At 35.3% G+C, this 27,503-nt stretch overlaps 1 protein-coding gene and 1 pseudogene across 3 annotated transcripts, besides 1 other annotated feature; both read left to right on the top strand.

Moving 5' to 3' along the window:
* Positions 1-200: 200 nt before the first annotated feature.
* AGR3 (anterior gradient 3, protein disulphide isomerase family member) lies at positions 201-27,503 on the top strand. 3 transcript variants are annotated; one of them, XM_047419928.1, is made up of 9 exons: positions 201-240; positions 1,429-1,460; positions 3,539-3,674; positions 8,341-8,404; positions 19,522-19,574; positions 20,124-20,200; positions 20,737-20,800; positions 21,601-21,684; positions 22,553-22,772. In XM_047419928.1, exons 3-9 carry the CDS (start codon positions 3,566-3,568, stop codon positions 22,600-22,602), a joined length of 501 nt encoding a protein of 166 aa, XP_047275884.1. In that variant the 5' UTR covers positions 201-240; positions 1,429-1,460; positions 3,539-3,565; the 3' UTR covers positions 22,603-22,772. The 3 variants fall into 3 exon arrangements, with proteins under 3 accessions (XP_047275884.1, XP_011513454.1, NP_789783.1); XM_011515152.3 differs by lacking the exons at positions 1,429-1,460; positions 22,553-22,772 and adding an exon at positions 27,269-27,503; NM_176813.5 differs by lacking the exon at positions 1,429-1,460.
* Positions 15,814-18,319, top strand: RAD17P1 (RAD17 pseudogene 1; annotated as a pseudogene).
* Positions 19,104-19,273: a silencer, noted in NCBI's record as "fragment chr7:16902535-16902704 (GRCh37/hg19 assembly coordinates)". NCBI's record gives its function as "represses an EF-1alpha promoter that drives an FKBP-Casp9 reporter gene in an ReSE screen in HepG2 liver carcinoma cells {active_cell/tissue: HepG2}" and the evidence as "EXISTENCE:reporter gene assay evidence [ECO:0000049][PMID:32094911]".

Raw genomic sequence — 27,503 nt, 5'->3', positions numbered from 1 at the left:
ATCTTAATTTAGAGAAAAAGAATAGAGCTTTTTTAGTGTGAGAAGCATGAGAACTGGAAAGAAGTACAGAGTTTTTCAGACCAGCCTATTTTTCTAAGTTTGTTTTCCGGTAACTATGCTCTTGTTTCTATGCAGGTGAGGTTGTAGGTCAGGTGTGTGTGTGTGTGTCTATAAATCCACACCCATTTTTAACCAGAAACATCCAGAATACATTTCCAACAAGAGCACTGGCCAAGTCAGGTAAGCAAGCAAATTTTCCAGATTACTTAATCAGTGGTCAAGCTTTGCTATATTTAAATAATCACCTTTTGCTATTTAAAAGTGAAGCTTTCAGTAAAGGGTAGGAAAGTGAAATGAATTTTTATTTTTCTTCTTTTACTGAACTGGATTTCCTTTGCTGGTTTCATAGTTTTATCTCTATTTATATTAATGGTATTAGAATAAATTGACGTCAACCACAAAAACGACTCTTTGAAAAGTATTCTACAAGTAATGATAGCTCTTCTTTATATTCTTTTAAGTCTTGTTTTATTTTAAAATATAGGAACTTATAATATCAGTTACTTACGTTAAATTACTTTTGAAAAATAAAATACTAATGTCATAAAATGCTAATTGACCAATGTTTATACAATCTAATTGCTGACATATGGTTATGTGCCTCCCAAATGCATTTTAAGCTGCTGTAGGCCTGTAACCATGCCACATTTATCTGTGTTCCCCCAAGTAGCTTAACCTTGCAACTGATACTAAAGGACCCTCAGCAGTTTACACTATATTTTACCAAGGAAAGCGTTATTTATTCAAAATCTACAGTGTACAAGTTGTACTGCTTTGTCACAGAATATATTTAATATCTATTTTATAATTTATCAATGTAAAACCAGAAAACCAAGATTTTTATTTTTTAATTAGAAAGTATTTGACAATAATACATAAAGACTTGAAATTTTAAAGAAAAAATGGTTCCCGCTTAACTCTAAGCTTCGCAGCTTTAAAATAGCAAAAATGATGAGGTTATGCTTTTTCTTTTTTAAAATGCAGATTCCACCTGCTTGTCTCTGTAGCTAACATAGAAAAATCTTTCTAAAGATTCCTTCCAGATTGACTTTTCTTAACTCTTCTTTATATCCAAGATCCCTGGAAGAATTTTAATGACGTTTTGGACCCTATTCCCACGGAAAAGGAACAGAGGCAGATAAAATTTTGCACACAATTTCCAGGGGTTTTGAGCCTTCTGTAGCTCAGCCACAGGCCTTCTAGAAGCCTGCTGGATCCAGGTTAAGATCCTGTCCTAGGTGGTTGCTTTAGTTCCTCCACTGCAACTCCCAACCTGTCTAACTAAGGCTGCCTTCCCTGGGTTGAGCTTTGTGTTCCAGAGTCAACTGTCCCTGTCCTGTACTAAAATCCACCCTGTATTTGTTTCAGTCTTTAAAGTACAAGATGACCAAGGCCTTAAGGTACAAGATGACATTCTGAAATGTTTTATGGTTTAATAAGTTATGAGAACTTAAACTGAAATTCTTATCAGGCACCGTGATAATTGTTTAACAGGGTTTTTATATGCCTGGAAAGAAAGGACAGGAAAGGAGGGGAAAGGAGGGGAGAGGAGGGGAAAGGAGGGGAAAGGAGGGGAGAGGAGGGGAGGGGAGGGGAGGGGAGAGGAGGGGAAAGAGGAGGGGAAAGGAGGGGAAAGGAGGGGAAAGGAGGGGAGAGGAAAGGAGTCCGGGCGATGTAGCTCACCCTTGTAATCCCAGCACTTTGGGAGGCCGAAGCAGTTGGATCATTTGAGGTCAGGAGTTTGAGATCAGCCTGGCCAACATGGTGAAACCCCATCTCTACTAAAAATACAAAAATTAGCCGGGCATGATGGTGGACACCTGTAGTCCCACGTACTTGGGAAGCTGAGGCAGGAGAATCGCTTGAACCTGGGAGGCGGAGGTTGCAGTGAGTGGAGATGGCCCCACTGCACTCCAGCCTGGGTGACAAGAGCAAAAAAAAAAAAAAAAGAAAGAAAGGAGAGAGAAAGAAAAGAAAGAAAGAGAGAGAGAAAGAGGAAGGAAGGAAGGAAGGAAAGAAGGAAGGAAGGAAGGAAGGGGAAAGAAGGAAGGGGAAGGAAGGAAGGGGAAGGGAAGGAGGGAGGGACAACTGGGGATTAGGGAGGGAAATAAAGTAAGGTTAACCTGGAGTGGTAACTATTTTCAGTCCATAGAGGGGCTGCAATAGATACACCACTGGGAAGGGGAAAACAGTATAATGGGAGGAATGAGGAAATGTCTGGAGAAATCTAGAATCTGTAAACTTCTTTACCACCAAATTGTTGTTCTCCTCCACGACTGCGGTTGCTACTTTACAATAACTAGGTGATTAAAATTGCCAAATGTTTTACCAATGCCAAAACATTGTGTCTTATATATCTTTTCATTTTCCACAATGCCTACTACAATAAAATATAGCAACATCTTTGTTTGAACAGAATCACTAAAGAATCAGTCACTAGCCATTTTGGCTAAGGAAATTTTACTATTTTGGTGATGAGTTCAATACTAAATAATGTAAGCCAATAGGAAAGACGTCTTAAAGGAACTTCAAATCAATGTGAATGATGTCTGTATATTTATTTTATATTTTGAGGTAAAGTTTCAAAACTGCATGAGTCAACCATTTTCAAATCAGTTTTATATGCTAATGCTGTAACTAAACATCTCACAAGTATTAAAGACTTCCTGTAATATATTTATCAAGTGGTTTATGACCAGATCAGGCCCAACTTTGGACTTCAGTTTTTATCTTAACGTGCAAAGTATAAAAGATGCACATTGAGTTAAGAATCAGTTTGAATTCTAGCTAACCAGGAGAGAATGTAATCATGACAGTCTATTCTTCTCTATACATATGTCTAATTTATAGTAATATGATAGTACTTGATTTTTATAAAGAGCTGTATCATAAACTGAAGGGCAAAAGTCTGAGTAATTGTTGGAAGGATGAGAAAGGTAAGAAACTATAAAGGAACTGAAGGACAAGAATCCTCCATATTCTATTTTTCCTCTGATTTCTATTTTAAGCAATATTTATTCATGTATAATCTTATCTTAGTATAGAGTTAAAATATTTTGACCTATTAGATGAAGGAGAATCAAAAGGCAAAGAATATTTCTGCATGCTAAAAGTCACTTCATAGTTTACAAGACATCAAACAACATGATCTTATTTGAGTTTCGTCTTGTTGGTGTGAACACTACAGGGCGGTTCAGAAGCAGGCTTCGTGTGCCCTGATCCAGCTCTTTTTTAATTATACAGCACCATGCCCAGGAGGCTCAGAACATGACTTCTCACCAACTGAGCATGTACTGAGTTGATTAAGTATTTTAAAAATAAAATGTGAATGAAAGTTCTATGTGGTTGGTTATACCATGTCAAACCAAAAAAGCTGAACAGTCTGTCATCACAGTATTGGTCCAACTCTTAGCAAATATCTTCTAATAATAGCTTGAAGTAATTCACTGGATTCTGAGAATTCCTTTCTGTCATCTAGCTTCTTCTGAGAGAGTCTCTAGAAGACATGATGCTACACTCAGCTTTGGGTCTCTGCCTCTTACTCGTCACAGTTTCTTCCAACCTTGCCATTGCAATAAAAAAGGAAAAGAGGCCTCCTCAGACACTCTCAAGAGGTGCTGTAATCTCATTTTATTTTCTAAACTCAGTCATTTGGATTGCTTTTTAAAATATCTGGTGTCTTCACTCATAGTCTAATTATAAAGCAAATTCAACTAACTGAATGATTTTTGTTGTGTGTGACTTCAAAATGGATTTTTTAAAACAGAAGGAATCAGTTTATTTTAGGCAGTGAATCAAATCAACTAGCAAACAATAACATAAATTTGCATTATCTTTTGCCAAAATAATGGAGAATTGGCTCGCTGTCTATAACTTTGGTAACCAGAGTCCTAGAAAATAATGATTGATTGCTGCGTCATATTGGTGTCCTAATAGCAATTTAAGATTCCTCAAAATTTGCTCAAATTCCCAGTCCTCTATTTCCCAGTCCTCCAAAAAAAAAAAAATTGGAATAATTTTATATAAGCCTTCCCAGAAAATTATACTATACCCCAAACTCTGAGAATTCGGGGTAACTAAGTCTTTGCTATATTGACTCTGGAAGACAGTGGTTTTAGACATAATCAAGGATTGCCGGTGGCTACATGTTTAGAAACATTTCTTTTTGTACTTACTGTTTTACTTGGCCCAAGAAACAAATATATATTCATCTGTAAAGAAACATTTTATTAAAAAAAATTCTCTCTTTTTTTTTTTTTTTGAGACGGAGTCTTGCTCTGTCACCCAGGCTGGAGTGTAGTGGCACGATCTTGGCTCACTGCAAGCTCTGCCTCCCGGGTTCACGCCATTCTCCTGCCTCAGCCTCCCAAGTAGCTGGGACTACAGGCGCCCGCCACCATGCCCGGCTAATTTTTTGTAGTTTTAGTAGAGACGGGGTTTCACCGTGTTAGCCAGGATGGTCTCGATCTCCTGACCTTGTGATCCGCCCGCCTCGGCCTCCCAAAGTGCTGGGATTACAGGCGTGAGCCACCGCGCCCGGCCAAGAAAATATTCTCAAAGTTAGTTTCTATATCTCTAAGTAACAGAAGTAGGAACAGAATTATTTGTCCCCATATAGCTATTCAAAATCAGCAGTATTACCACAAAGTACTTGACCATTTGTTTGCTCCATTCATATTACCACTGCAAATAGTAGTCAAGTGCCTTGGAGTAATACTGCTAGTTTTGAATAACCAAGTGGGAACAAATAATTCTGTTCCTACCTCTGATATATATATAAAATATATATAATTATAACATACAAATTATATATTATATATACTATATATTATATATAATATATATCATAGTATACATTTGTGTTATATTATAATAAATTATATATAAATATATGCTATAATTATAAATATATATTATATAATTTCAAATTCTAAAACACTGACTTGCTTCCCAAGTACATTCATTTCTTAACAGATGTATTGAGTGCCAGCCAAGTGCTCATCAATGTTTACCTAAGCTAATTAACTCTACTTCAGTTTAACAAACACACAATCTATATATACAGAAAGTCAACATATTTTTGCAAAAGAAAGGAATGAAAAAGTTGAAATATTTTCCTAAACATAACTCTATCTCTCTGTATAAGCATAACTGTTGTAAAACAATGAGCTCAGTAGCCCTAAAGTGACAAAGACTAAACTAGTTATTGCCCTTAAAGATTTTCCATGTCTGCATTAAGCAGCACTGTGATAACTATACGTCAAGGCATCAACATTCTGTGTGCTCACTTCTAAATATTTATTTAAAACTCTTGTTGAATGTTTTGAAAAAATATATTACATTTGTATGCCCTATTTTAAACAACTTAAAGGTTCTATTATTTCAATTGATAAGAAACTAATTTAACACAGAAGATGACTGATATTAGCTGAGAACACCATTATTGAGAATTGGTTTATATTTGGCAAAGTCTTTTACCATCTATTGCTACATGGGAGATAATGGAGAGAATGAGGCTCAGAATGAATGAAGATTAAAGGTAGGGGTGAGTGGGAGAAGTCTGGATACAGTATAAAGAGTGGCATATGGAGCCCCTTAGAGCACAGGGCAGCACTAGTTAAGTAGAGAAGGCAGTAAGGAGAAAAGGAAGATTAATTAGAAAAAGGTAGAAGAAGGTTCAGGGAGAAAAAAATACACACACATAGAATGATCCAAAAAAAATCCAATTTCCTTTGAATCAGAATTGCTGAGTACCTAGTCCAGTGATTGGCGGATAGTAAATATTTAATAAATATATGTTAGATAAATGAATAAAATCTCAAAAGACAAGAAAATATAGCCAGAGATAGAGATAGGGCTAGAATTAGAGTAATGAGCAGAAGCCATGAAGTGCATTTAAACTGTGTAACAGCTTTGACCTATTGTGATTATAACAGAGTAAATAAAAAATCATTATAATGCAATATGGCTTTTCTACAGAGCTATGGACAATTTGTTGAGAATAGGGATTATATTGCTCTATGTTTGTATTCCCACTGCTTTGTGGAGTAAGTTATGCAGCAGATGTTCCTTTACTGTTTGTGGAACTAAATTGAGCAGGAGCAGAGAATAGAAATTTTCCCCACTGCTAATGCTCCATCATTGAATGATATTTGCAACAGAAGAGGGAAAATTCAGCAGAGGCCTCGTCTCACTTGCTGTTTTAGAATAACTTTTACTTAATGCAAAATGTGATGTATAGATATTGCATGTGTTCAACCAAAGTTGGAAAGAGAATCTTTCAGGATTATTACAGAGAGCAAGAGTTCCTGTTAAGATGTGGCATTAAACTAACAAGAGATGTTTTTCAATGTTAAGATTTTAAATCAGGCAAAAAAAAACAAAAAACAAAAATGTTGCTGGTGAGTATATAAAATGATGCATCTACTTTAGAAAATAACCCGGCAGCTCCTCAAAAAGCTAAATACAGAGTGACCATTTGATCAGCAGTTCCACTCCTAGGTATATACCCAAGATAAATGAAAATATATACCACTGAAAAACTTGTATATGTATGTTCATAGCATCATTATTCATAAAAGACAAAAAGTGGAAACAACCCAAATATCATTAACTGATGAACAGATAAATAAAATATGGTATATTCATACAATGGAATAATATTTGACCATAAAAAATGAATTAAATAATAATACATGGCACTATAAGGATGAACCTTAAAAAGGTTATGCTGAGTGAAAAAATCTAGTCACAAAAGCCTACATATTGTATGATTCCATTTATATGAAATGTCCAGCATAAGCAAATCTATAGAGACAGAAAGTAGATTAGGGGTTTCTTAGGGCTGTGGCATTTGAAGAAAATGGGGAGCAGGTGATAGCTAAATGGTATAGGGTTTCTTTTTGAGGAGATGAAAATGTTCTAAAATTGATGTGATGATGGTTGCACAACTTCGTGGATATACTGAAAAAAGCACACATTTTCTTTTTTTCTTTTTTTTTTTTTTTTTGAGATGGAGTCTCGCTCTGTTACCCAGGCTGGAGAGCAGTGGCGCAATCTTGGCTCACTGCAACATCCACCCCCAGGTTCAAGCGATTCTCCTGCCTCAGCCTCCCGAGTAGCTGGGACTACAGGCACATGCCACCACACCCAGCTAATTTTTGCATTTTTAGTAGAGACAGATTACACTGTATTGACCAGGCTAGTCTTGAACTCCTGACCTCAAATGATCCACCCACCTTGGTCTCACAAAGTGCTAGGATTACAGTCATGAGCCACCATGCCTGGCCAAAAGTATACGTTTTCAATAGGTGAGTTGTATTGGCGTATGAATTTTATTTCAATAAAGCTGTCGCCAGAAAACAAACATGAAAAACAAGCAAAAATCATGGAATCATATTTATCAAATTACTATCATATTTACCATGATATTAAAGCCAGAAACTGTGGTCTGACAACATTTGAAATGTACAAGAAAACCTGGGCCCAAACTGACTTCCAAATATTGCTAATTTTCACATTAATTCAATCTCTCTCATTCGTAGACTGAGACACTTCCTGAAAATACTCAGTAATGTTTTTGGAGGTTCTGCACATTCTTCTACTTGATGATTTTATCTTTAATTGCTTATACACATTCCCAACTATTCATACCATTTCTTTAAGGCTAATGGGTTCTCTCTATATTCATTGCTTTCTGTTTTTTCTCTCCATTCTTTTGGGTGTTTCCAAAACACATGCGTTTTATTATGTCTCTTGGCCATGAAATTCCCACACAAGAATTTTTTCCATGTCAGAATTCAAAGCAAAACTTGGAATTCCCTTATTTCACAACGTATACTGACTTAGAAGAGGTCAACATCTCTTGGGACCCAAAATAGGAGGGCATTGTAGAGTACAGCCGAAAGGATTCCTAATAATATTACAAAGTATGCAAAGATGAACTGTTACTTTCCAAGCGTTCCTAAAGCCACAGCTTTTACATTATCCAAAGATGTCCTTTCAATCAGCTCTAATCATAACAACATGTATTGAGTACTTACTGGGTTCAAGGCCATGGGCCTCGAGGTTTGAAATGCAGTAGCAAAACCTCAGTACTGCAATCTAAAGGGAAATCACCTCCATATCTTGTGAAAATTGTGTGTCCTCTGCACCATATGTCAGCCAACAGCTTGATGGCTTAGTTAAATATCTGTAGGTAGATATCTGATTATTAGATACCCATTTCCGAGCTCTTCTCTAGTTCTGGGTTACTGCATTGATTTCTCTCTTCTATTTCAGGATGGGGAGATGACATCACTTGGGTACAAACTTATGAAGAAGGTCTCTTTTATGCTCAAAAAAGGTAACATGCTTCTCAGCTCATTTTTTTCCTTTTATTTGTAGTAGACTCATAATAATTGTACATATTTATGGAATATAGAGTGATATGCTGATACATGTACACAATGTGTAGTGATCAAATCAGTGTAATTAGCATATGCATCACCTGAAACATATCATTTCTTTCTGGTGGGAACACTCAAAATCCTCTCTACTAGCTTTTTAAATATATACAATAAACTATTGTTAACTGTATGTACCCTATAGTGCTGTAGAATACTACTCAAACTTATTCCTCCTATCTAGCTATATTTTTGCATCTATTAATCAACCTCTCCTTATCCTTCCAGCTCTGAACCCTCCCCAGCTTCTAATAACCAGAGTTCTACTCTCTACTTCTATTAGTACAACTTTTTTTTAAGCTACTCTATATGAGTCAGAATTTGTGGTATTTATCTTTCTATATCTGACTTATTTCACTTAACACATCCTCCAGGCTCATTCATGCTGCTGTGAATGAGAGCATTTCATTATTTTTATGTCTGGGTAGTAGTCCACTGTGAATATATAACATGTTCTCTTTATCCATCCATCCATTGATGGACATTTAGGTTGATTCTATATCTTGGCTATTGTGAATAGTGATTCCATAAATATGGAGATGCAAATATCTCTTTGATATACTGATTTTTTAAATAAATACTCAGTAGTAGGAAAGCTGGATCATATGGTAGTTATATTTTTAGTTTTCTGAGAATCCTCTATATGTTTGCATAATGGCTGTACTAATTTACATTCCTACCAACAGTGTATAAGAATTCCCTCTTCTCTGCATCCTCACCAGCATTTGTTATTTTTTGTCTTTTTGATAATATCAGTTCTAACTGTGGTGGGATAATATCTCATTGTGGTTTTGATCTGCCTTTCCCCGATGATTAGAGATGTTGAGAATTTCTTCATATCCTTGGCCATTTGTGTGTCTTCTTTTGAGAAATGTCTATTCAGATCTTTTGCCCATTTTAAAATCAAATCATTTGGGGTTTTTTGTTGTTGAGTTGTTTGAGTTCCTTGTATATTCTAGATATAGGCCCATGTCGAATGAATAGTTTGCAAATAATTTCTCCTATTCTACAGTTTGTCCCCTTATGCTTTTGTTTCCTTTGCTGTTCAGATGCTTCTCAGGTGACATAGTCCCATTTGTCTATTTTTGTTTTTGTTGCCTGTGCTTTTGAAATCTTACCCATACATTTTTTTGCAGGGAACAATGTCCGAAGGGCTTCCCTTATATTTTCTTCTAGGAGTGTTATAGTTTGGGGTCTTACATTCAAGTCTTTAGTCCATTTTGAATTGATTTCTGCATATGGTAAGAGTTAGGAGTCTAGTTTCATTCTTCTACATATGGATATCCAGGTTTTCCAGCACCATTTATTGAAGAGGGTGTCCTTTCCCCAATGCATGTTCTTGCCACCTTTGTTAAAAATCAGCTGACTTTAAATACGTGGATTTATTTCTGGGTTCTCTATTCTATTCCATTGGTCTAGGTTTCTGTTTTTATACAAATACCATGCTGTTTTGTTTACTATAGCTTTGCAGTATATTTTGAAGTCAAGTAGTATGATGCCTGCAGTTTTGTTCTTTTCACTCAGTATTGCTTTGAACTATTTGGAGTCTGTTGTGGTTCTATACAAATTTGAAGATTTTTTTCTTTCTGTTTCTGTGAAAAATATCATTGGTATTTTGATAGAGATTGCATTGAATCTGTAGATTGCCTTTGGTGGTATGGTCATTTTAGCAAAATTCATTCTTCCAATCCATGGCATGGGATGTCTTTCCATTTTTTGGTGTTCTCTTCAATTTCTTTCATCAATGTTTTATAGTTTTTCTTGTAGGGATCTTTCACCTCCTTGGTTAATATATTCCTAGGTGTGTGTGTGTGGTTTTTGTTTGCTTGTTGTTTTTTTGAGATGGAGTCTTGCTCTGTCACCAGGCTGGAGTACAGTGGCGCGATCTCAGCTCGCTGCAACCTCTGCCTCCCAGGTTCCAGTGATTCACCTGCCTCAGCCTCCTGAGTAGCTGGGATTATAGGCACATGCCACCATGCCCAGCTAATTTTTTATTATTAGTAGAAACAGGGTTTCACCATGTTGGCCAGGCTGGTCTCGAACTCTTGATCTCAGGTGATACGTCCACCTCAACCTCCCAAAGTGCTGGGATTACAGGCGTTAGCCACCACGCCTGGCCTTTTTGTGGTTATTGTAAATAGCATTGCTTTCTTGTTTCTTTTTTTCAGCTAGTTTGTTATTGTTGTATAGAAATGCTACTGGTTTTGCATGTTGATTTTGTATCCTCCACTCTCCGTTAATTTTAACAGATCATATAGATACCTCATTGATGAATCAAAAAAAAGCATTTTAGTTTTCAAAAGGATGCCACAAGTATTTGCTCTGCTATTGTATGCCAAAGGGACTAATAGTTGCTATTAGAATACATTTTATAAACAAAAGCTCTAAATACCTCTGTATTAATGTCTTCATTACTCAATCAAGCTTTTGAGTATGTTGTATAAACAAAGCAGTATTATTTATTAGGCAGTATACAAGCTTAGACAGAAAACTGGTTTAGGGCAGCAGTTCTAAGGCCTGCCTGTTTGAATATTAGAGCAATTTGAGTAGCTTTTTTAAAAATCCAAATTTATAATTAATCAGTCAAGTATTCCTTGAATGTCCACTGCTATGTACCAGACACTGTTCTAGGCTCAATAACCAAGTATACCATTTTTATTCTTAAAGACCTACTAAGTCTTTGGGAATGAAGCTGAGAAACATATTATTAAAAGCTCCCCAAGAATGAATGAAATATCTAAAGAACATTCTATTGCAATACTCTTTAAAGATAAATTAAGATTCCAAATTAACTATTGTTTCAATATTGGACAAGCATTAGAAAAGAAAGAAGTCTACAGAAGAATCTCACTTCCAAATATCGGTGTAACAAACAAACAACATATTAGTAAGGAGCACCAGCAGAACATTTAAAAATATACCCTGACAAATTGAGATTTAGCCTGGGAATGCCAGAGTGGTTTAGGATTAAGAAATGTACTAATTAAAATAATTTAATATTTATAAGGAGACAATTCATACAAGTATGTCTAATCTCCACCAATTCTGAAAATGCATTATAGAATAAAACATCTATATTTGAATTTTTAAGACTTTGTATTTGACAATATTAATTTCTTTAAATTAATCCCAACAACAGCATTCCAACAGTAGCAACAACAACAAAAAACCAACATTATGCTTACTGGGAAAACAAATAGAAGTGTCCCATTAAAGTGTGGATAAGACAAGTATATCTACAACCACAACAATTACTAACATTTTTCTGAAGTACTAACACAATTATAGAAGGAAAAAGTAGAAAATGTAGAAAGGAAAAGTTAAAATTATCTTTATGTGCAAATGATAATTTATATACGTGAAAAACTAAAAAAATTTAAATATTCAGAATAACAAAAATTCTGTTGAATTAGATGAGAATAAATTGATATTTAAAAATTGACTGCATTTATATATAGAAAAACACATCCAAAAAAACTTGTTAAATACCTCATTTACAATGACAAAAAAGAAAATACCCCAGAATAAACTTGACAGAAGATATGCAAAATCTATAAGAACCTAAATACACTGAAAAGAAAAAAGAAATTTCCAAACCAATGGCAGTGCATATTATATTCTTGGATAGAAAGACTTAACATCATAAAAATGCCAATTCTCTCTATACTTAAAAAACTTTTTAAGATGATCACAATAAATTGTGATAAGATTTTTTAAAAAGATAATTCTAAAGTTGAAATGAAAAAATAATAGACATGAGTAGTTAGGATAGTTAGGAACATTCTGAAAAGAGAGCAATAGGGATTAGGCCTTAATCATTATTAAACATTTTACAAAGCAATAATAAACAGTATATTACTTGTAAATAAATAAAATATAATAAAAGTATAGAAATAAAACTTTGAATGTAAATGGATTTGGACCTCCAATCAAAAGACATAGAGTGACTCAATGGATTAAAAAACAGGTTCCCCCTGCCCCCTGCAAAAAAAAAAAAAAAAAAAAACAAACTCACAAGCCCCAACTATAGGCTCAAGCGATCCTCCTGCCTCAGCCTTTCAAGTGGCTAGGACTACAAATGTGTGCCACCACATGGGCCAATTTTTGTACTTTTGGTAGAGACAGGGTTTCATCATGTTGCCCAGACTAGTCTCAAACTCCTAAGCTCAAGCAATCCTCCTACCTTGGCCTCCCAAAGTGCTGGGATTACAGGCATGAGCCACCATGCCAGGCCTCACTTCACCTTGAAGGATGTTTATTAACTGCAATTGAAAGGATCAAAAAATATATACTATATAAATGGAAACAAAACAAAACAAAACAAAGTAGCTATACTTAGATAAAACAGACTTTAAATCAAAAAATGTAAACAGAAACAAAGAAGGTCATTATATAATAACACAGAGATTAATTTACCAAGAAGGTATAACAATTATAAATATATGTTCATCCAACATCACAGTACCTAAATACATAAAGCAGATGTTAATAGATCTGAAAAGAGGAATAGATTACAACACAATAATAGTAAGGGACTTCAACACCCCACTTTCAACAATGAATAGATCATCCAAAAAGTCAATAAGGAAACATTGGACTTGAACTACACTTTAGACCAAATGGACCTAACAAACATATACAGAGCATTTAATCAAACAGCAAGAGAAGATACGTTCTCATAGCGTAGGAATTATTTTTTAGAACAGATCACATGACACATGAAACAAGTCTAACAAATTTAAGAAGACTTAAATTATATCAACTATCTTTTCTGACCATCAACAGATGAATTGATAAAATATGGTATATGTACACAATAAAATACTATTCAGCCATTGAAATGAAGGAAATCCTGAATAGCTATCCAAAGAGCCTATCTCCTTTGATGCTCACAATCCACTTAAAATTAAAGCGGTATTTAAAAATCATTCTATATACCCAGACATTAGTCTGGGCAATGATTTTTTTTCATATGACCTCAAAAACATGAGAAACAAAAGCAAAAATAGGCAAGTGAGATTACATCAAACTAAAAAGCTTCTGTACAGCAAAGGAGACAATAACAGAGTGAAGAAATAACCAACAGAATAGAAGACAATATATGAAAGCCATACATCTGAAAAGAAGCAAATATGCAAGAAACTCAATAACAAAACAAAAATGGAATTTGTGTTTTAAAAATGGACAAAAGACCTAAATAGACATTTCTTAAAAGAAGACATACAGGCTGGGCGCCGTGGCTCATACCTGTAATCCCAGCACTTTGGGAGGCCAAGGTGGGCAGATCACTTGAGGTCGGGAGTTCGAGACTAGCCTGACCAACATGGAGAAACCCCATCTCTACTAAAAATACAAAATTAGCCAGGCATAGTGGTGCATGCCTTTAATCCCAGCTACTCGGGAGTCTGAGGCAGGACAATCACTTGAACCTGGGAGGCGGAGGTTGTGGTGAGCCGAGATCGCACCATTGCACTCCAGCCTGGGCAACAAGAGCGAAACTCCATCTCAAAAAAAAAAGACATACAAAGGGCCAACAGGTAGATGAAAACAATACTTAACATCACTAATCATCAGGGAAATGCAAATTAATACCACAATGAAATACCACCTCACTCCTTTTAGAAAGGCTATTATCAAAAAGATGAATAATAGCAAGTGTTGGCAAGAATGTGGAGAAAAGAGAACCCTTTTACACTGTTGGTGGGAATGTAAATTAGTACAGCCATTATGGAAAGCATAATGTATAGAGATTACTCAAAAAAATTAAAAATAGAACTACCATATGATCCAGCAATTCCCTGCTGGGCATGTATCAAAAAGATAAAATCGGTATGTCTAAGAGATATCTGCACTCCCATGTTCACTGTCATTTGCAACAACATAGAAGAACCTGGAGAACATTATGGTGAGTGAAACAAGCCAGATACAGAAAGACAAATGTCACGTAATCTCACATGTGTAATCTAAAAAAGTCAAACTCATAGAAACAAAGGAAAATGGTGGTTACTAAAGTCTGGGGGTGAGGATGGGGAGTTCTTGCTCAAAGGACACACATTTCAGTTAAGTGAAATAAATTGAAGAGATCTGTTGTACATTGTGGGAATAATAGTTAATAACAATATATTTTATACATGAAAATTGCTGACAGTAAATTTTAAATATTCTCACCACAAAAAATAAGTATGTGAGATGATGAATATGTTAAATAGCTTGATTTAGCCACTGTACAACATATCCATATATCAAAACAGCATACTGTACACCATAAATATATACAACTTTTACTTGTCAAATAAATAAATAGATTATTGATAGGTAGTTGACAAACTCCATAGATAGATAGATACTACAGGAATTTTTTAATACAGGAAGTGGTATTTTAAATCAGGAATAGGGGAGACAGATTATGTAATAATTAGTGTCAGAAGTTGATAGTCATCTGGGAAAAACAAATAAATTTGTATCCATATCTCACATTTATGCAAAAATAAATTAGAAAGATATAATTATGAAAATTAAATCATTAAGGTGCTAGAAGATACCACTGCAAAATTTTATTTCTTTAAATGCTTGGAATAGGGGAGAGCCAAGATTATAGTGAGGCAAGAAAGATACCTGGGGTACAAAAATAAAGCCTCTAATTTTAGTCCTGTAGATGCTCCCCTGGCCTCATGCTAGTGCTGTCTGCTAGGCTTGAGCATAGCCAAACAAAGAAAAGGAGAAGATAAAAGAAAAAGTCTAAAAAGAAATTACTAATATTTTCAATTACACGGAATTTTCTGGATAACCAAAAACTTACAAAGGAAAAATATTCTTTTAAATGGAAAACTGCAGCACATATTAGAAGGGTGACTTTCTCTAATATACAACGTACTCCTATATATTAACAAGAAAAAGGTCAACAAGTCAACAGAAAAAAATGAGCAAAGAATATGGAAGTTCACAGAACAGAAAAATAAGTAACTCAAACATATAAGATTGACTATTTTTTATAAGAAAGACAAACCACATTCGTTTCCCTCTTTTCACCTGTTGGATAAAAAAAATTTAAACTAATAACCAGCTTTAGTGAGAATAGCAAAAACAATTACTGCTCACACTACCAGAGAGAATATGAATTGGTACAGCTTCTATGGAGAGTATATATCAGAATTATAAATGCACACACTCTGACTCAGAAATTCTACTTCTGGAAATGTATTCACAAACATACCCACCTATGTGCAAAATCATTTTTTAAAACAACAGCATGGTCTCTCATTTCAGGAACCTGGCATCTTCAGGGACAGTTACCTGCTTTTTAAAGGAGGTGAATTATAGTTTAATGTACTACAGGTCCTATACTATGGATGGGAACTATTACAGTTTATAATGTCAAAAACTTTTCTTAGACCAAAGATATCTTCCACAAAGGTAACAGACTGGATTGACCCATCATTCAATGATTTTCTAGAGTATAGAGACATCTCTACTATTACTGCCACATCATTAGGTGTGAATAACTCAAGTCATAGAGAAAAAAATGAGCCTTCTACATTAGAAAGTAAGATATTTCCAGCTAGAAAAATAGGAAATCTGTCTTCCTTAGAACAGATATATGGTTTAGAAAATTCAAAAGACTATCTGTCTGAAAATGAACCATGGGTAGATAAATATAAACCAGAAAGTTAGCATGAACTTGGCTGTGCATGAAAAGATAATTGAAGAAGTTGAAACCTGGTAAAAAGCTCAAGTCTTAGAAAGGCAACCAAAACAGGATGGATCTATTTTATTAATAACAGGTCCTCCTGGATGTGGAAAGACAACGACCAAAAAAACGCTATCAAAGGAGAATGGTATTCAAGTACAAGAGTGGATTAATCCAGTTTTACCAGATTTCCAAAAAGATGATTTCAAGGAAATGTTTCATACTGAATCAAGCTTCCATATGTTTCCCTATCAGTCTCAGATAGCAGTTTGCAAAGAGTTTCTACTAAGAGCAACAAAGTATAACAAGTTACAAATGCTTGGAGATCATCTGAGAACTGATAAGAAGATAATTCTGGTTGAAGATTTACCTAACCAGTTTATAGGGATTCTCATACTTTACATGAAGTTCTAAGGAAGTATGTGAAGATTGGTCGATATCCTTTTATATTTATAATCTGTGACAGTCTCAGTGGTAAAAATAATCAAAGTTTCTTGTTCCCCAAAGAAATTCGGGAAGAGCATTCTACCTCAAATATTAGTTTCAACCCTGTGGCACCAACAATTACGATGAAATTTCTTAATCGAATAGTGACTATAGAGGCTAACAAGAATGGAGGAAAAATTACTGTCCCTGACAAAACTTCTCTAGAGGTGCTCTGTCAAGGATGTTCTGGTGATATGAGAAGTGCAATAAACAGCCTCCAGATTTCTTCTTCAAAAGGAGAAAACAACTTATGGCCAAGGAAAAAAAGAATGTCTTTAAAATCAAATGCTACGCTGTCAAAATCAAAACAAAGAAAAAAAACTGATAGGGTTTTTGAAAGTCAAGAGGTCCAAGCTACTGGTGGCAAAGACGTTTCTCTGTTTCTCTTCCGAGCTTTGGGGAAAATTTTATACAGTAAAAGAGCATCTTTAACAGAATCAGACTCATCTTGGTTGCCCTCTCATTTATCAGAATATGAACAGGATACATACTTGTTGAACCTGAGGAGGTAGTAGAAATGTCACACATGCCAGGAGACTTATTTAATTTATATCTTCACCAAAACTACATAGACTTCTTCATGGAAATTGATGATATTGTGAGAGCCAGTGAATTTCTAAGTTTTGCAGGTATCCTCAGTGGTGACTGGAATACACGCTCTTTACTCAGGAAATATAGGACATCTATAGCTACAAGAGGTGTGATACATTCCAACAAAGCCGGAGGATATGCTCATTGCCAAGGAGAAGGATCAAGTTTTTGACCCTCGCACACACCGCAGTGGTTTCTAATACATAAAAAGTATGGGGAAAATTGCCTGGCAGCAAAAGCACTTTTTCCTGACTTCTGCCTACCAGCTTTATGCCTCCAAACTCAGCTACTGCCATACCTTGCTCTAATAACCATTCCAATGAGAAATCAAGCTCAGATTTCTCTTATCCAAGATATTGGAAGGCTCCCTCTGAAGCAACACTTCGGAAGACTGAAAATGGAAGCCCTGACTGACAGGGAACATGGAATGATCGACCCTGACAGTGGAGATGAAGCCCAGCTTAACGGAGGACATTCTGCAGAGGAATCTCTGGGTGAACCCGCACAGGACACAGAGCTGGAAACCTGGTCTCTTCCTCTGAGTCAGAATAGTGCCAGTGAACTGCCTGCCAGCCAGCCTCAGCTCTTTTCAGCCCAAGGAGACGTGGAAGAAAATATAATAATAGAAGACTATGAGAGTGATGGGACATAGAAGCCAGCCTGCTAATCAGATTGCTACTTCACAGATTCATTTTTGTTTCATTCAGTGGTACTTCAGCAGAGTTAATATACTTCTCTGATGAATTACACAACAGTTTGTTAATTCTCCGTTCCTGTAGTCTTTCATCACGAAAAACTAACTCTTCTGTCACCTTGAAGTAAATAGAAGATCAAGCTTTCAAGTAATCTCTGAATGTTTTTCTGTAGGATTTATTAAATCTATGAGTGGTTTAAGGAGAGGTCAGTGTGTATAAAGTGTGTTTGAACATTATGCCAAATATCAAAATGTGAAGGACTAATTCAGAATGCAAAAACTTTATGGGGGGCTGTAAATATGAACTATACAAGAGTTTAGGATGCAATTATGGGTGTAAAGAAACTGCGTGCCTTAAAAAAAAAGCATGTTTAGCAAATAAGTGTACAAATGTAAATGTTTAGGAACAATCTAAACACAAGAGATTGGAAACAATTTAAATATCCATCTTTGGGGAGACTAATAAGATAAAATATTAATATAATAGAATATAATATAAAAGAACAGTGGCATATCTAAGATTTATATTTTAAAAGCAAAATGTAGATACTTGTGTGCTAGTATTTTTGTTTTTTAAAAAGAAATACATACACATAAATGTGAACATGCATCTGGGTATATACAATATATAAACATATTCATATAGATTTTCAGTTATATGACCTGAAAACCTCTGGGAGAAAATATAAGAAAAAGTAATACAGCATAGTTATAGAAGTTAGCAGTAGGAGGAAGAATTTTTATCTTTTTAACTTTTTATGGTTAAAATCAAAATGACCCCCCAAAAATGTATGAAATAGGGAACTCCCACTCAGGTTGTTTGTATATTCTGCAACGTGCAAGAATGAAAGGATGTGAAAATAGCCAAATATTAACAGCTTTTTTGTAAAAACTTTTTAAAAAACTAAATGTAAAAGTCTTTGACTTTCCTGAAATCTTATACTAAGTGTTCATTGGAAATGAATACATTGTTCATAATAACCCTTTATCTCTGGATACAGAATTGATTTTCTCTAACTGCACTATAGAGTACATAAGAATTACCTAATAAGTTTGTTAAGCTACAGATTCCTGAAACCACCCCTAACCCCAGAGATTCTGATTGAGTGGGTCTGGGATGAAGCCTTTGGTTTTTTGTTTGTTTGTCTGTTTGAGACAGAGTCTCGCTCTGTCACCCAGGCTGGAGTGCAGTGGCGCCATCTCGGCTCACCGCAACCTCACCTCCTGGGTTCAAGCGATTCTCATGTCTCAGCCTCCAGAGCAGCTGGGACTACAGGCTCACACCACTGTGCCCAGCTAATTTTGGAATGGAGGCTTTCCTGATTTGGGAACGGAGCCTTTGAATTTAAATTCCTAATAAGCTACCTAGTGATACTGATACTATCAGTTCTGAGGCCACAAATAGAGTAACACTGCTATTGACTATAGTGCTATGATTTGTAAATCTGAGATTACTACTGTAAGCCTTATTGAAGCTAATAAAATTTTAAATCTAACTCTACTGTATATTTTGACCCAAAGTTAATCATTTGACTTAATTCCATACTTTCTTTGTTTAGTAAGAAGCCATTAATGGTTATTCATCACCTGGAGGATTGTCAATACTCTCAAGGTAATTTTAGCCCCTGATATCTTATTATAATATATAATATTTCCAATATAAAATAGGAAAAGTGACCTGGTAATAATAGCTAAGAAGGCGCTCAGCAAATCCCATTAAAAAAAATAGACAACTGCCAGAGTACCATCATTTTACTAAGGTGCTTAAAGACCACAATGATTGTTACCAATCTACTGAATATTTCTATTATATTCCCTTGGGAATTACATATTCCTCTTCTTCCCATGAAAAGAAAGGGGTGAGCTGAGAAGGTGTAGAAACACTGAAAAAAAGTCGTTGTCTTAACCAATGAGTCAATGAGTTACATAAAATTATAAAAACTAGTGTCTTCACTGTGATTATCCTTTGATGTCTCCTTGAACAGACTGTCCCTCATTGCTTTCCAATGAGGGACAAAGTGGCAATAGGCCAATGAACTATTAATATTTACACCTGAGTTATATATGCAAACAAATGCTAAATATTAGCTTTATTTTGCTATGTTACATTAAAGGTCTCTTGATCCTTAAAACTAACTGGCAATTTTGTTTTCCCCTATAGCACTAAAGAAAGTATTTGCCCAAAATGAAGAAATACAAGAAATGGCTCAGAATAAGTTCATCATGCTAAACCTTATGGTACATAAACTTTGTGATGTTTTCTTAATACTATAATTTCATGGAAATTTTGAATCCGTTTTTTTCTTTTTTTTTTTTTTTTTTAGACAGAGTCTCGCTCTGTCACCCAGGCTGGAGTGCAGTGGCGTAATCTGGGCTCACAGCAACCTCAGCCTCCCTGGTTCAAGCAGTTCTCCTGTCTCAGCCTCCCAAGTAGCTGGGACTACAGGCACCTGCCACCATGCCCAGCTAATTTTTGTATTTTTAGTAGAGACAGGGTTTCACCTTGTTGGTTAGGCTGGTCTCAAACTCCTGACCTCAGGTGATCCACCCGCCTCAGCCTCCCAAAGTGCTGGGATTACAGGCATGAGCCACCATGCCCAGCCTCCTTTTTTTCTATTTTTAAAGCACAAAGAGCTAAATATTGGTTAATACAGAAAGTTGTATGGAATTATAAAAGGCCAAAATAGAATTTACTGACAGTCACACAAAATCATCTTGAAACTATCAAAAACAAATGAATCCAATAACATTCTTTTTTTTTCTTCTCCTGCTAGCATGAAACCACTGATAAGAATTTATCACCTGATGGGCAATATGTGCCTAGAATCATGTTTGTAGGTATGTATGTGATCTCATTTCATCAGATCTACAAAATTAGTAGAAATCAGCATTCTTGCTTTTATTTTTAAATGCTAGTTCAAGTACTATTCTTTTTAAAGAGAAGTCATTTCTAATCCAATAATATCAGCTCTTGTTAGTTCTACAATCAAAATCCACTATATCTGTAATTTGAAAATTTTAAATATTTTTTCAAAGCATGTATGCTATTAAATCTATATCCCAATGTACTTTCAACACAGTGCCCCAGACTAGATTGACAGAGACCTATGACACACTAAAAGGAGAATTCAGGTTAATTCATGAACTGACATGTATGAAAACTAATTTTGCTTATAAATTGGTTTGACATTTGTTTTAGATTATAAATTGGTTTGACATTTGTTTTAGATTAAGAAACAAAAATGATTTTAAGAACGTTTTATGGATGTAGCCAGAGGCCATTATCCTAAGCAAATGAACACAGAAACAGAAAACCAAATAGTGAATGTTCACACATATAAATATGAGCTAAACACTGGTTACACATGGACATAAAGAGAGGAAAAATAGACAATAGGAACTCCAAAACGGGGGAAGGAGGGAGGGAGCCAAAGGATGAAAAACTAACTGTTGGCTACTATGTTCACTATTAGGGTGTTGGGTTCAGCTGAAGCCCAAACTTCAGCATCACACAATATATCTGTGTAACAAACTTGTACACATAACCCCCACATATAAAATAATAATTAAGTTTTTACAAGAGTAAAGAAAAGAACATGCTAAATTATACTTTCGTGACTTGGTTTTTTCCTTGACAGACCCTTCTTTAACAGTTAGAGCTGACATAGCTGGAAGATACTCTAACAGATTGTACACATATGAGCCTCGGGATTTACCCCTATGTAAGTATTCACAAATGATCTCAAACAGTGGTCATAGCTGACCCCTGACTATTTGTTAAGGGCTAGTGAAGCCCTACATCAGTGCTTCTACACACCAGTCACTGAGGCTAGTGGTGGTGTTTAAATGCCAACTTCTAGCTCCCACCAAAATCAGAATTTTGGGGGTACCTCAGAATCTATTTTAACAGGGATGTCTAAGGGATTTTAGGATTACTAAATTCTGAGCTCACTAAAAAGAATATAGTACACATTAAAATGACACAAACTTGAGACAGTCCATTCTCCTAGTATCAAAGATCTCATGTGATTTCATCAAATGATAGTAAAATCATTTCATCTTTCTTTAATGCCTATAAGCAAGGAGGTACAGTCTTACCTAGGACTTTAATCCTTTTTTTTTCTTTTTTGTAGAGACAGGGTCTTGGTATGTTGCCCAGGCTGGTCTCAAACTCCTGGCCTCAAGTGATCCTCCCACCTCAGCCTCCCAAAATGCTGGGATTACAAGCATGACCTACCATGCCTGGCCAAATCTATTTTTTACAACATTCATTATCAACTATATTTAATAAGACAACTGTGCCTGTAAGATCTAGCAATACTAATACAAAGTGATGCATTAAAAAAAAAGAGGTACTCCTCAAAACCCCTCTGATGAAATTGTTCAACATAAAGTTGACCAACCAGCTCTCAATGGTCTAATCCCTAAATTTACATGTACACTTTTAGCATATTCTTTAATGTCATAGACGAATTCCCATGTTCAAAGCTATTAATTTAAATGGGCCAATTTCAGGTTCTAGAGTTAATAGATCATAGCATTTGTACTTTCATTTATTAATAGCATAATATATATTAACTCTTATTTCAGTGATAGAAAACATGAAGAAAGCATTAAGACTTATTCAGTCAGAGCTATAAGAGATGATGGAAAAAAGCCTTCACTTCAAAGAAGTCAAATTTCATGAAGAAAACCTCTGGCACATTGACAAATACTAAATGTGCAAGTATATAGATTTTGTAATATTACTATTTAGTTTTTTTAATGTGTTTGCAATAGTCTTATTAAAATAAATGTTTTTTAAATCTGAGACTGACAATATAGTTTTATTTCTGCCTCATCAGTAGCAAAGAAAGCCTGCCAAGAGTTATAGTGGAGACAAGAAGACCTAAATAAGAGGTGCCTATACAGTTTGTCTCTATTTCTTCACCTCTCCTTCACTCCATCAACTAATCTAATTTTATTTTTAATTTTCTAAATTTTTTTTTTTGAGATGCAGTCTCACTATGTTGCCCAGGCTGGTCTCAAACTCCTGGGCTCAAGCAATCCTCCAACCTTGGCCTGCCAGAGTGCTGAGATTATAGGCCTGAGCCACTGTTCCTGGTCTAACCACCAACTAATCTAATTTTAATTCTGTCTCCTCCCCTGTACCATACCTGCTAACCCAGGTCATAAATGATCTCCATGTTACCAAAACAAGTGGATAAATCTCTGTCCACTTGTGACTTTAACTTTTAGCTACATATTTCAGCACTAACCACTTACTTCTTTTCTTACTTTACACTTAGACATTTAAAACCTAATTATATTTTAAAAATTCAACTACATTTATTTATTTATTTGAGACAAAGTTTTGCTCTGTTGCCCAGGCTGGAGTGCAGTGGCGCACTCTTGGCTCACTGCAACCTCCACGTCCCCGCTGCTACCCGTTCAAGCGATTCTCCTGCCTCAGCCTCCCAAGTAGCTGGGATTACAGGTGTGTACCACCACACCTGGCTAATTTTTGTATTTTTAATAGAGACAGGGTTTCACCATGTTGGCCAGGCTGGTCTCGAACTCCTGACCTCAGGTGATCTACCACCTCAGCCTCCCAAAGTGTTGGGATTACAGGCCCGAGCCACTGCATCCAGCTACATGTTCTTCTTAATTATTGGGTAGATACTTTAAAACTTTTAATAATTTTAAGAAAAGTGTAACTACTTCAGGAAAAATGAAGAATTTCTCCAATTAACTGGTAGGAAAGGATTATATTTATTCTGAAATGATCAAATATCCAATCATCAACTCAGTTCTTTACAGGAAGCCTCCAGAGAGTTAATACCATGTCTTCTATTTATTTAAATAACAGCAACAAGAAGAAAAAATCCTGCTAATAGAAATCCTAAAATCAGCTGGGAGTAATTATCAGAAGGTAGAAAATATTTTAGAGGCTGGGTGCGGTGGCTCATACCTGTAATCCCAGCACTTTGGGAGGCTGAGATGGGAGGATCACCTGAGGTCAGGAGTTCGAGACTAACTAGCCCCTGGTCAACATGGTGAAACCCCATCTCTATTAAAAATACGAAAATTAGCCAGGCATGGTGGTGAGCACCTGTAATCCCAGCTACTCAGGAGGCTGAGGCAGGAGAATCACTTGAACCTGGGAGGTGGAGGTTTCAGTGAGCCAAGATCGTTCCATTGCACTCCAGCCTGGGCAACAAGAGTGAAACTCCATCTCAAAAAAAAAAAAAGAAAATGTTTTAGATGGGCAAAAATTTTCCTAACTCATAGGATTTTATTGCATTTAGCAAAATTTGAATTGCTTTGTGATATAAAACTATACTTTTATATGAGATAGATATGCAATGTCTATGATATAGACACCTGTAATTTCAACATTTGATGAGTCAGAGAAAAAAAGGTTTCCTTTGGGTCTTATTTGATCACTATTCTGTTAATTTTAAGCAAGCTTGTAGTAAATTGATCTATTTGGATATAAATAGGTTACATGATTATCAGTACTAGAGACCCATGTATCCTATTTATTTACAAAAGAATATTAAATATCCTATTTTAATTTTTATATTACAGCCTATTTTGATTTTTTAGATAAAAGTCTAGAGCTTTTATTTTAATGAATGCTAAGAGATCAGAATGCACTGGCATTCTCTGATTTAATAGTTTAACATATGAAGACTAAAGAAATATAGCTGATTCCATGGTTGCATAAATAGTTCAGAGGAACAACATGTTAGCAGTTATTTGCAGTGGACTATAAAAGAGATCAGCTGACAATTTAGTTTTTTTAAGAATTAATAAATAACATTGAACATTCACTTATCTTTCTTCAGTTAGCATAAAAATGTTACTAAATGATAAATTGTTCTTTGTAATGAAAATGTATATACCTTTATATTTTAATATGCATATATTTCTATGTTGTTATACATATAATTTTATTATGCATATAATTATATGTATGCCAACATTTAATATGCACATATTTTACATATAAATATTCCATAATCAGTTTTAGTCACTGTAATCTTGTAACCAATTTAGTTTTCCTTCTCTACCCACTTTAACAAACTCTATAATCCTCGCTGGGTGCAGTGGCATGTGCTACTGGGGAAGCTGAGGCAGGAGGATTACTTTAGCCCAAGGGTTTGTGGCTGCAATGAGCTATGATCAAGTCTATGAATAGCCACTGTACTCTGGCTTGGGCAACATAGTGAGACCACAACGTGTTTAAAAAAAAAAAAAAAACCTTTCTATATTGTAGTTGATATTTCTACCGCACATCTTCTCATAAAATTAATTGTTTGGATTCCATTCCTTCTTAGGTTACCCCTACTTTGGAAATGTAGGACTATGCTTAGTGAATGTGTGTGTGTGTGTGTGTGTATACATATAGGTGTGTGTGTGTGTATGTGTGTGTGTATGTGTATAATTTTACTTCCATTTGTTTTTACCCTTATAACCTCTAAGAAATTATTCCTTCCCTAACACAGCCAACATTTTAAAAAAGTTACCAACATCAACTACCTGAAATAGTATGCACAATTCTATGTGCAAAGCATTTTAATGCAGGCTTTCAGAGTTTTCATTTGCATTTCAAAGAGATAACAGTCAAAAAAGTTGTACATTCAAAAGGGATTAATTAGATAAAGTCCAGCGTTGCCACATAAAGTACAGGACATCCAGTTAAATTTAAATAAGGGATAAACAACATTTTCAAAATATAAGCATATCCTGTTTAATATTTGAAACACACTAAAATGTATTGGTTATTTATGTGATATTTTAAAGTAAACTGGGTGACCTGTATTTTTATTTGCTAATATTGTCAATACTAGTTTAGAATTACTGCACTAGATCCTTCACCTCTTCCTTGTCCTCCTTCCCATTTGTTTTCCTAAAATAGCAACATTTCTATTCAGATCAAGCTCTCAATTTCTGAGATCAAAATAAAACCTAAATTATTTTCTAGCATTTAATCTTTCCCAATTATTCAATGATTAATTTTCACTCTGCCAGATACTAACTTTGATATTGTGGATCCAAAGATAGACTGGATAAAAGAAATTCACAGTCTAGTGGTACGATATATCACTGGTGGGAAATAACTCCTTACTAAATAACCTAATAAAATAATGTGAAATCAGTAGAGAAACAGCTCAACCTTCTAGTAGAACCATCAGGCTTTACACAAGATGCAGTACCCATGAATCCTGAATGAAAGGAGAATGTATTTTACCATCATGGAAAACAACATGATAAAATAGAAAATCAGGTATATTATAGGGGATGAAGAAATTATTGTTCATTGGTATAATCTTACAATACATAAGTATACAAAGTTTTCTTGGTAGGATCTTTCAGACTTTTAGATTAGAGTTAATAAGAGTAGGCCAAGCCTCAGGGAAGCGTACTTTTTAAACCCATTGATTTCATACACACATATAGATTACTTGAGTTTACAAGTAGTACTTCTTAAAAAGCAATTATATGCAATATGTATATTCATGAACCTCCTTACTGAGTAAAGAAAGATAAGCATTCTTTTCTTCTTTTAAAATTTGTTTTTTGCGCAACATCTGCCTTTTTCGCTAAATGGAAAGTCCTTGGGAGCAGAAAGTCCCTGTCCCCAGCCCCCTTCTCTTTCACACACCCATGCCCACACACAATCTGACAAAATAAGTTGTGTGAGTGTTAGGAGGGCGACAGAATTGTGGAGAGCACCCACAATAGGAGGCCATTAAACACTTGGCTCCCCTGGTATTAGCAGTGATTCAGTTTCTGAACATCTTTTCTGGAATGAATTCACTTTTCTGGAATGAATTCTAGAAGTTTAGTGATTACTGAAACTTCTAGAAGTATATCATAGTTACTTTCCAGGATAGGATACAGTAACAGGTTGAATTGTGTCCCTTTCACAAAAAAAAATTATAGGTTGAAGTCCTATCCCTCAGTATCTCAGAATGGAGGTATTTCCTATTTGGAAATAAGGTCATTAAAAATGGGAATAAGTTTTAGTGTCCTATAGTACTGTAGGATGACTATAGTAACCAACAATATACAGTTTCAAATAGCTAGAAGATATTGAACGTTCCCAATACAAGGAATGATAAATGTTTGGGATGATCGATATGTGAATTACCCTGATCTAATCACTATACATTATATGTGTCATAACATTATGTACCCCATAGACATGTATGATTATTATGTGTCAATTAAATTTTCTAAAGGAAAATGTTATTAGATGAGGTCATACTGGAGTAGAATGGGCCCCTAACCCAATATGACTGGGTTCCTTATATAAAGAAGAAATTTGGATACAGAGACATGCATACAGAAGGAATGCCATGTGAGCAGGAAGCAGAGTGTGATCGTGCAGCAGAAGCCAAGGAATGCTCAAGGTTGTCAGCAAACACACTGGATGACAGGCACGGAAAAGATTCTCCTTCACAGCCCTCGGAAGGAACCAACCCTGCCAACACCTTGATCTCAGATCTCTACCCTCCAGATCTGTGAGACAATAAATTGACTGTTTAAGCCA

The sequence above is a fragment of the Homo sapiens genome, chromosome 7 (assembly GCF_000001405.40).
Source record: "Homo sapiens chromosome 7, GRCh38.p14 Primary Assembly".
Classification (NCBI taxonomy): domain Eukaryota; kingdom Metazoa; phylum Chordata; class Mammalia; order Primates; family Hominidae; genus Homo; species Homo sapiens.
Note: the sequence above shows the minus strand (reverse complement) of the source record. Positions and strands in the feature narration are given on the sequence as shown.